The sequence below is a fragment of the Homo sapiens genome, chromosome 18, assembly GCF_000001405.40.
Source record: "Homo sapiens chromosome 18, GRCh38.p14 Primary Assembly".
In the NCBI taxonomy this organism is placed as follows: domain Eukaryota; kingdom Metazoa; phylum Chordata; class Mammalia; order Primates; family Hominidae; genus Homo; species Homo sapiens.
Window position 1 is genome coordinate 48,806,458 of NC_000018.10, and position 11,118 is coordinate 48,817,575.

Here is an 11,118-nt window from a genome sequence, read left to right on the forward strand (position 1 = left end):
CCAGGGTCACTGGGGGCATAGCGTTTGGATGGGCAAATTTCCCTAGGCCATTCATTTTCCAAGAGGGAGCCCGAAATGAAGGTGAGTTTGCAGCGATTGGTAGGGGCTGCCCATCTCCCTCAGGAAGTGTAAAAAATATATGCATCATAGTCCTTGTGCCTCGACTACCCCCAACCCCACCCTCCAGCAGCATCTCCCTGTGGTGGTTTGCGCTGCTGGGTGGTGTGGGGGTGTTTTTTCCCCTTTGCCTGTATACAGCTGTTTTTGGCTTGGCCACTGCGCTCCACCATGCCAGAGCTCATGTGGTTATCCCGAGTGGGAAGAATTTCCCAGAATGCCTTGAGAAACCTGAGACACTGAATGGCTTTCAGGGCTTATTGATGTGGCCGGTGCAGGAAATAGCAGTACGTCAATAAATAGTTTTAGGCAGGAAACGGGGCTTAAATGGTAGCCTTAAAGTTTGGGGAAAGGCACTAGGGGTTGCTGGGAGGTAGCCTGCCAATCAGATGAGAACCTAGAGCCAAATACCAGGCTTTGAAATGGCTGCCACCAATCTGAGGCCCCTTGCTGCTTTTGGATACAAGAGGCTGAGGTTAGGGGCAGAGCTAGAGGAATGGCTTGTTTCGGTTGGCAGAAAGGACTCCTTGTTCCAGAGGAAAAGCTGGCAACCTATAACATGTGTCAAGAGGAGACACACAGGCTGGGTTTTGGTGGCCTCTGGGCGGGGCATGTTCACACCCCAGTTCCCCACCCTTCTCGTGAGAATCACTGCTGACTGGCAGATTACCAGAAGAATTCCACTGTCCTAATGCAAAAAATCAAGGAAAAGGGTCACAACCTGCCAGTTTCTTTTAAAATAGCTGTTTTTCTGATTATAAAGAGAAACATTCACAGAGAATCAGAAATTCAGAAAGTAATGTAGAGAATAAAGGTCATCCATAATTCCGCTATTGAGAGACAACTCCTGTGAAACACTATTTCTCCTCTTTCTTTTTAAAAAAAACTCTATTCATGGATGAGATTATATGGTAAATGCAATTTCAGTTTTGCTTTTTTCATTTAACATTATATAAACATTTTCCCCATGCTATTGTAAACGTTTCATAAACTTTTTGTTGTTGTGTTTTTTTTTTTTTTTTTTGAGACAGAGTCTCGCTCTGTTGCCCAGGCTGGAGTGCAGTGGCGCAATCTCGGCTCACTGCAACTTCCACCTCCAGGTGCAAGTGATTCTCCTACCTCAGCCTCCTGAGTAGCTGGGATTATAGGTATGTGCTGCTATGCCCAGCTAATTTTTTTGTATTTTTAGTAGAGATGGGGTTTCACCATGTTGGCCAGGTTGGTCATGAGCTCCTGGCCTCAGATGATCTGCCCATCTCAGCCTCCCAAAGTGATGGGATTACAGACGTGAGCTACTGCACCTGGCCACATAAACATAATTTTTAATGGATGCATGAATCATCATTTACTTAATTGTTCCCCTGTTGTTGGGTGCTTAGGTTTTTAGATTTTTATGTGCATTAAGCTTATTTTTTCTAATATTTTAAATTGTTTCCTTATGATAATTACCAGAAGTGCAACTACCAGAGCAAACAATAAGAACTCTTAAGACTTATTTTAAGGATTTTCAGAAAAGTCATACCAATGCCCATATATAAGTGCCTGTCTCACTGCATCCTTACCAGCATTGACAATTACCATTTTAAGTTGTCCTTATATATATAGATGGGAAAAAGACGTTTTCATTCATTCAATTACTACTGATATTGAATTAAGTTGTTTTCATATATGTATTAGTAATTTACATTTTGACACAGGATTTACCTCTTAATGCCCTTTCCCCATTTGTTCATGAGGGATTTCATACTTTTATTACAAATTTGAACACACTATTTATATATTAAGACCATTGCCCTTTGTCACATTTATTGCGTGTATTTTCCTGAGCATATCAATTGTCTTTTAATATTTTGATGCATTCTTCCATTGTCTTAGTGAAGAAAGCCCCCCTCCTTCCAGAAATGTGAGAAATACTCTTTCATTCTCTTCAAATTTTTGGTCCTTTTTTTTTTTTTTTTTAACATTTGACTCTTTATTCCATCTGGAATTTATTTTAGAGCCCAGTGTGAAGTAAGATTCTAAATTATTTTCCTCCTGATACTTAGACAGCTGTCCCTGCACTGTTGCTTGAGTGAATAATGCTTCCTTTGCCACTGATTTGTGGTCCTCAAGGGATCATGTGATAAACCTTTGTGGATGCCAAATTTGTTTCTAGGCTATCTGATCTAGCTCTCCATTCGGATGTCAGCTCTACAGCCTCTTAATGAATAAAGCTTTATTAAGGATAAGTTAAGAGTAGTGTAACTCTTTCCAATGTTGTTTTGTTTTTAGTTATTTCCCTTGCTATTCTTTCAAATTACTTTTAGGATTATTTTTTCAAGTCTTCATTTCCTTTTCTCCCAAAAAAGTTCACATTGGGATATGGAGTACAGATTGATATTAAACCTGTGAATTATTTCAAAGAGAATTACCATCTTCACAATGCTGTCTTCTCAATAAGGAATTGTGTGTGTTTCTTCGCTAGTTGAAGACGTTCTCTTAAATCTTTCAGTTTTGTTAGGCAATTTTCTTTATAGAATTCTTGCATATTTCTTAATAATGTCACTTAAGTATTTTATTGCTTTATTAAATGAGCTTTGTACATTAAAATCTCACTAGTTAATTCTGTCATAAAAGAAAGCTGTTGATTTTGTGTATTAATTTTGTATCTAAATATTCTTATTAATTAGTCACTGAACTCTCTTGTTAATGATACTCTTTATTAAAGGCTTCTCTCAGATTTTCCATATATTTAATCAAATCATTTTATCTCTTCCATTCTAAGGGTCATAGGTGTTGCTGCCGTTTTTTAATCAAGCCTATTGAAGTAATACATTACATTTATAGATTTCCTGATACTAAGTCATCCATGCCTTCCTGATAAAAATCTACTTGGTTATAATGGATCTGTTTGTTAGTATTTCACTTGGGATTTTATATCTATTCACATTAGCAAGATTAACTTGTAGACTTCCTTATTTGTAACTTACTATCATGAGATTTTGTTTATAGGGAACTGGTTGGAAAGCGTCTCTTTTTCTATGTTCTGAGTCAGTTTGCAAAGGAAAGCAGTTACCTAATTTTTTGGAAGTTTGAATGAACTTACCTATAAAAATTGTAAGTTTAGAGATTTCCTTATAAAGGTAATTCTTTCATAACTTTCATTTTAGCTTATGAATTTTTAGTTTATTCTGGCTCATTTCTTTTTTAGCAAATGTTGATTTTTTTAATGAATCACCTATTTCATCATTTTTTCAAAATTATCAACATAGAGTTATAAATAATTTTATTATACTTTTTTTCTATATCATATCTGTTTTCATATCTAATTTTATTTCTGTTTCTTCTTTCTTGATTTTATATGTGATTTCCTTTCTCTATTTCCTAAGTAATTAATTTGGGGGTTTTATCTGTATTATGTCCTTATATTTCCTTAGCTATTGTTGGTTTTCTAATTGTTTTAGTTAAATGTTTAGATCAACATTGTCTGGTAGAAGTATAATGTGATCTACATATGTAATTTTAAATTTAATAATATGTGTTATAAAATTTCATAGGTAGGTAATATTTTTAAAATATGAGACATTTTACATTCTAGTTTTTATACTAAGCCTTTGAAAAGTAATATCTGTTTTACGCTTACAGCCCATATCAGTCGGGATAGCCACACTTCAAGGGCTCAATATATTGTCACATGTGGATAGTGGCTACCATATTGGATAACATTGGTTTAGATGATATATTTTCTTCCATTATTTAGTGGCCAAAATAGTTAAGACTATAAATTGACCTTTCATTATAGTTTTGACCACATCCCACAAGTTTTTATAGTTATTTCCTAGATAATCTAATACAGGTATTGTATATTTGAGTATGTCTTTATTTCATTTTTCTTTAGAAGAATACCTTTTAAGTATTCAAGCAATTGGCTATTTTTTAATTGTTGTTAATTCATAGTCCCAGTATGTAACCTGTACAATTTCTATGTTTTGAAATTTATACTGAGATCACAGCTTACTATGAAGCTTGTTTCAATTTAATCTTATTAACTATATTATTTAAATCACCTAAGTCATTTGTTTTTTATTCATTTAATCGGCCATAGAATGTTAGTGGTTTTATTTCCTGATATAATTCTTCCTTTCTGGTTTTTTTCCTATGTTTCTTTTTTTTTTCTTATGTTTCAATAGCTTCAGGTATATTCAAATCTATACTATAAAGTCTATAACATTTTGTGTTATCTCTTTATTATGGATTGTATTTTTATATATAAAACCTTATAATTTTATTTAATAATTGTTATCTTAAAAATACTTCCCTTTTACTACTACTTTATTTTCATTTGCTCACTCTTGTTTTTACCCATCCATTTATTTTTTTATATCCTGTTTTCAGTTCTGCTAGTGGTTACTAGTGTTTACTTTTAGCATTTTAAAGGCATACTTTCATTTTTTTTCTCTGATTCCCAAGCTTAAGAAAGATGCAATAACCTGTGAATCCTTATGGCCTAAATTAGGAAATGTTGTGTGCTTTACAGACTTCTATCCCCTTCCCACCAGTATTTACTAATCTCTAGTAATTTAATCTTGGATTATTAAGTCACTACTACTATAAAATTCTTATTTAAATTACATTTTAAAATTAAATATCTTCTCTTCCAAGGATTATTTCTGGCTTTTGATTCCATTGTATAACCAAAATTATAATGACTTATTTTAACTTAACTTAATAAGTCTACCTGGTTGTAGTTTCAGTTTTCCCTTCTGTTTCTTCTATACCATGGTTTCCTCAGAGTTAAATCATAAATTTTGTTGGCCATAACATGCATTCGGAAAGTTCTTTTTATTTTTTATTATTTTTAATTGTAGTTTTAAAATAACATAAAATATACTATTTCAAGCATTTCTAAGTGTACAGTTCAATAGTGTAGAGTCACATTCTCATGCAACCAGTCTCTAAAACTTCTTCATCTTGCAAGACTGAAACTCTCTACCTATTAACCCCCCATGTCCCCTGCTCCCCAGCTCCTTGTAACCACCATTCTACTGTCGTTTCTGTTTATGGGTTTGGCTACTTTAGATACCTGCATAAGTGAAATCATGCAGTATTGTCTTTTTGTGACTGGCTTATTTCACTTTGCATAATGTGCTGAGGGTTCATTCACGTTGCAGCATGTGTCAGAATTTCTTTCTGTTTTTAAGGCTGAATAGTATTCCACTGTATGTATATATCACGTATTGTTGATCCATTCATCTGTGGGTGGATGCCTGGGTTGCTCCCACCTCTTGTCAGTAATGCTACATACTGACATCTCTTTGAAATCCTGATTTCATTTCCTTTGGATATATACCCAGAAGTGGAATTGCTGGATCATATAGTAATTCTGTTTTTGATTTTTCGAAGAATCACCATACTATTTTGTTTTTTGAGATGGAGTCTCACTCTGTCCCCCAGGCTGGGGTGCAGTGGCATGATCTCAGCTCACTGCCACCTCCGCCTCCCGGGATCAAGCAGTTCTCCTGCCTCAGCCTCCCGAGTAGCTTGGATTACAGGCACCCACCACCACACCTGGCTAATTTTTTATATTTTTAGTAGAGGCGGGGTTTCACCATGTTGCTCGGGCTGGTCTCGAACTCCTGACCTCAAGCGATCGACCTGCCTTGGCCTCCCAAAGTGCTGGGATTATAGGTGTGAGCCACCGCGCCCAGCTGGCCATACTATTTTTCATAGCAACTGCAGCATTGAATTTTTTAAGATAAACATGTAGGAGTGATTTGTTTTAGAACTTGCTTATGTAAGATCTTTCTCTCGCTTTCACTCATAGGCAGGTTTGTTCTTTTCCCTTCAAACTCATGAAGACGTTGCCTTCATGTCTCTGAATTTTTAACCTCAAATAAAGAAGTATAAGGCCAACCAGATTTTTCTTCCTTTGTAAGAAGACTGTCTTTTGTTCCTTCGTAGCTGTTTTTAAATTTTTCTTTTTCTGCGAAACTAAAAAAGAAAATTCAGCGGGGGCAACGTAGACCTTGTCTCTACAAAAAAATTTAAAAGTTAGCCAGGCATAGTGTTATATGCCTGTAGTCCCAGCTACTCAGGAAGCTGAGGTGGAAGGATCACTTGAGCCTAAGAGGTCGAGGCTGCAGTGAGCCTTAATCGCACCACTGCACTGCAGCCTGGGCAACAAAGCGAGACCCTGTCTCAAAAAAAAAAAAAAAAATGAAAAAAGAAAAGAAAATTATTCCGCTAAGTAAAACTGGGGCAGGGCAAGGGACTTCCGGAACACTGTGAACACTTTTTACCCAAAGAGTCAACTCATTTTTATTATTATTTATTTTCAGTGAGAAAGTTTATTTCTCTGCTCTCTTTGTTCTGTGTATTCTGGTATGCTTTTTGAAAACTTCTCTAATTCACAGACTAGATGTCCACTCTCTATCTTCTCTATCGTTTTTCTTTTTGTTTCTAGTCTATTTATCTTTGTATTCAGCTTTCTGGTCTATTTATCTATTCTGCTCTCTAGGTGGTTTCCAAGTTTATCTTCTGCATTACTTTTTCTGCATTATCCATTCTATCCTTTACTGCCTCCAATTCATTTTGATTTTGCTGTTGGATTTCTAGTTTCCATTGGCTCTCTCCTAATCCCAGTTCCTGTCTCACACTTCATTTCAGCCTGAGAGTTGCTTAGCTAATCACAATCCCTTCCTTCGAATGCCTATTCACACATCATAGAATCTATATTGTCATTCTCCTTACATACAAGCCCACATGTTTTGCACTTGAGTTTTTCATTTTATTTATATCTGGTTGATTGTCATTAATATGTTCAGAGTTACACATTTCCATTAAGTTTTCACGACACTGCTCCTTTATTCTGCCAGGCAGGATTTTTGTGTAGATGCCATATTGCTCTGCGCCTCCCTCAATCCTGAATGAGATCACCCCTGTCTGGTCTTTTGTGTTTGCTGTGCGCATCAGCCTTGGACTAGCTTGGTGTCTGCTTAGGCAGAGTCTCCCTCTCAGACCTAAAGCTGGAGGGTGGCTTCATGAGCTCATCTCAAATCCAATTTCCAATATTTAGCAGGCATTCAATCTCCTAGTAACCTTTGCTAGCCCAAAACAGAATGCTCTCTTGATGCCATGGATGATCAGGAAGAAACTGAGTCAAGAGCTAGTTCTTTGATCAGATGCAATCTATTTTTTAAAACTTCAGTTCCTTGTACACACTGCCTCCAAGTTTTTTCCTGCCCCAGAGGGCTTTGCCTGAGAGCACCATCCCTTAAAGGACACAGCATTTCACCCAGTCTCCTCCTGCCCCTGCACTGCCCCGAATCTCCAAGGCCTGGAATAAGGGTGGTGCAGATGGGAGCTGCCTTAATACACAGGCACAGGGCTTTGCTAGTACTGACAGATACTGTCTACCAGCCAGAGACAGATAGAGGAAGGGGCTGAAGCCTCAAGCTACCCCCTGTCTTTGGTCTTCTGGGTCCCCTGGGCAACCAGAATTTGTTGGTGACAGCACTTTAGTTAATGATGTCACCTCCTGAGTCTGGGAGGAGTCTGCTGGGGAACTGTTATCTTCCTTCTCAGTGTTGCTGTGGGACTTTGTTCTTTGATGTGTGCCTTCATGGGTATTTTTAGGGAATATAAGGAAATGACAAGCTGGGGGTTGATAGAGGGGCACCATTTTAACACCCGAGTTAGCACTTGATAAAGGCCTAGAGTTGTGGTTCAGAGCCATGGTTGCACGTTAGAATCAGCTGGGGAGCTGCCAAAAATTACCAGTGTCTGAGCCCCACCCTGACCAGTTACACAAGACTTTCCGGGGTGGGGTCCCAACATCAGCAGCCTCAGAGTTCCTCCAGGTGACTCCAATGTACAACCAGGGCAAGAGCGTTTAACCCAGAGCAGAGAAGGGGCTTAATTTTTCATTCAAGTTCTAGTACTGTGTGGCCTTAGTCATGTCTTTTAATATCTTTGTGCCTTAGTTGTCCCCATTTTAAAATGAGAATGGTAATGCCCACTCTTGCTCAGATCACATAAGAATATTGTGGGATAAACAAAGGTTCATGAGAATGAAACCACCAAAAGATGTGTGACTTCAAGCCCAGTAGTGCAGGGTCCTTGGCAGGCCCTGGGGTGGCAGGCAATGTAATTCATTCATTCACAAAGACCCTGAACAGCTAGGACCCCCTGTGAACACTGCCTGCTCCAGGCTCTGGACTAGGGAGAAGAGACAAAGCTGTCAAAGATGCTGGGCACGCACTACTTGCGGGGTCCCTGGAGTCTCTTGTGGTCCCTTTTCACCCTGGGTGAAAGATAAACAGCAGAACTCTACAATCATACCCAGGTGGACAATTCAGTGAGAAAGGAGTGGGGAGGCAGGAGGCCTGAGGGGTCAATATGAGGCCCATGAGGTCTGCAGGCATGGCTGCACTTACAAGGGACCGTGTGGACAAATGGCTTCGTGGAAAGTACAGACTTGGAGAGTGACTAAGCGTGGGCTCTGATGCACTACTTTCCAATTTAAAAACACCATAAGAGCTGCTCTTGCCACAAAAACAAACAAAACAAAAATGGGTAACTGTGAGATGATGGATATGTTGTTTGCTTCACTATAGTAACCTTTTTACTGCCTATATGTATCCCATTGCATCATGTTGTATACCTTAAATATACACAAAAACATTTTTTGAAAAATAAAAAACACCATAAGGAGAAAAAATGTTTGGTCTCCAGAGCAGGCTGACGTCAGTTTGAATCCCAGCCCTGCCACTGGCTCATAGTCATGGGCAAGTTACACAACTTCTCTATCCTCAGATTCTCCATCTATAAAATGGGGCAGTAATAGGACCTGCCTTATAGGACCATTGTGATAACTATGTAAAATACCACAATTAATATCCTTGGCTCAGTGTCTGGCTCACAAATAGCAGCTGCTGCTGTTACTGTTTTACATATAAATATAGATATCAAAATAGTTATAGATACACACACAAGTATATACTTTTTTGTAACTGATGAAACTCAGGTCATTATAAGCTGTGGCCTAGGCTCATCCAAAGCTGGCACTGCAGGGCTTCTCAGCCAGCCCCTGACCTGCCACCTGAGGAGACCAAGGCCCACCCTCTAGATTGCACCTTCATCACTCACAAGGGACAGATGTTAACCAAGTCATCTCTGAGGGCCTTCCATCTCTGGAGATGCTGAGATTCTGGTGCCAAGGATGCTTGGCTGAAGTCAGCAGTGGTGTGGGGGACTGGGCTGTGGGAATGCTCTGAGTCACATTCTACAACCTGTCTTCCCATGTTCTATTTTGGTGGTGACACAGTCACCCAGACCAAGAATCTTGGCGTCATCTTGGAGTCTCCCCTTTCCATCAACCCTTACAACCCACCACTTAGCAAGTACTATTGACCTTCACAATGTCTCTTGTGTCACTCCTGTATTGGTCAGCTATTGAGGCTGAACAAACAACCATAAAAATCTCAGTGGCACGCAGCAGTAAGCGTGCATGTAGATGGTGTGTGTGCAGGTTGGTTGGGGGTCACCTGACCTAGGCTAGACTTAGGTGAGGCCCTGTCGCATATGTTGCCCACCTTCTCCCTGGGACCATCAGGCTAGCCCAGAGAGAGTCTTCTTAGGATGACAGAAGAAACATGAAAGTCAACATAAATATTTAACGCCTCACATCAGAATTGGCACACCATCACTCCTGCCTCATTCTATTGGCCAAAGCAAGACATATGGCCAAAACCAAAGACAAGAGGTAGGGGAAATATCTTTCTGAATATTATTTAAGCTACCCCAGATTCTTATCTTTCAGCTCTCAGAGCGCTGAGGTTTTAATTTCATCCTGCCTGGATGCTTGCAGTGGCCTCCTGTGTGGTCTCCACACCTTAGCTATATTAACCTTTCTGTTGAGCACTGGTATGACTGTGGTATTTCATGGCCCCATCCCCAAAACCTTCCCTAGCGACCATCCCATGGAACCCAGCTCCTTGGTTTTTTATACTTTCTTCTCTTGTATCACAGTGATGAATGAATATGTCTTATCTTAGCTCCTAGTGCAGAGCCTGTCACACAATGGGGCAATAATATTTTTAAGGAGGATGAATGAATGAATGAACGAATGAATGCCTAGGCCCCTCGAGGGACGGGCTGTAGCTGTGTAGCCCAGTGCTGGGGCGCTAGCCCACATGGTCCTCTGTTGCCACTGCTGATGATGTGTGGGTGGGCAGTGTTCTGGTTACCCCCAGTCCACCACGCAGAGGGCATGACTTGGGGGTTAGCAAAGGGAGACGGTTTAGCCACAGGGAGTTAAGTGGAAAAGTGCTGAGTCTGGGGAGGGTGTCACCTCCCGTTCTACCTCATCCTCCCACATCAGCATTGCTGTCAGTGAAGGAGGATGACCAGCAGGTCTGGGCAATGCCTAGAGGCAAGGAAGCTGTGTCCCCAACCTGGGGACACCTGAAGAAGAGGTGTTATGGCCCCAGGTCAGGGTGGTCCCAGCCACAGAGAGTGCAATCACGCACCCCCATCCTCATTTAAAACATGGGGTTTGCCTGCTGCCCAGGAGCAGCCCCAAGACAACAGATGCTCTGCACAGCAGGGTGGCACCCAGGCCCCTCCCCAGCCCCGGGAGGCTGACGCGGTCTCTCATGCCTCCACAGAAGGACTTCACGGTGCGCGAGGAGCTGCAGCAGCAGGACGTGGAGCGCTGGCTGGGCTTCATCACCTTCCTGTGCGAGGTCTTCGGCACCATGCGCAGCAGCACAGGCGAGCCCTTCCGTGTGCTCGTGTGCCCCATCTACACCTGCCTCAGGGAGGTAAGAGACCTGCCGCCTGTGCCCCCTGCACAGCCAGACAGCACCAGGTCTGGAATGCGTCTCAGATAACTGGGACAAAGCTGTGAGGGTAGGCTCACTTAGAAAGGGACCCATCCGGGCCAGGCACGGTGGCTCACACCTGTAATCCCAGCACTTTGGGAGGCCAAGGCAGGTGGATCACCTGAGGTAAGGAGATCGA

At 40.8% G+C, this 11,118-nt stretch overlaps 1 protein-coding gene across 24 annotated transcripts in view, besides 2 other annotated features; it reads left to right on the plus strand.

Annotated features, from left to right (window-relative positions):
- The window catches only part of CTIF (cap binding complex dependent translation initiation factor), a 324,187-nt gene that overhangs the window by 267,427 nt on the left and 45,642 nt on the right, over positions 1–11,118 (plus strand). For all 24 annotated transcript variants that reach the window (XM_047437960.1, XM_047437965.1, XM_017026100.2 and 21 more), the window contains one exon: positions 10,764–10,919. In XM_047437960.1, coding sequence (XP_047293916.1) covers positions 10,764–10,919 — 156 coding nt within the window. The remainder of the gene's footprint in view (positions 1–10,763; positions 10,920–11,118) is intronic.
- Positions 5,031–5,080: an enhancer, noted in NCBI's record as "active region_13297". NCBI's record gives its function as "activates an Ori minimal core promoter by ATAC-STARR-seq in GM12878 lymphoblastoid cells {active_cell/tissue: GM12878}" and the evidence as "EXISTENCE:reporter gene assay evidence [ECO:0000049][PMID:35858748]".
- Positions 7,715–7,874: an enhancer, noted in NCBI's record as "active region_13298". NCBI's record gives its function as "activates an Ori minimal core promoter by ATAC-STARR-seq in GM12878 lymphoblastoid cells {active_cell/tissue: GM12878}" and the evidence as "EXISTENCE:reporter gene assay evidence [ECO:0000049][PMID:35858748]".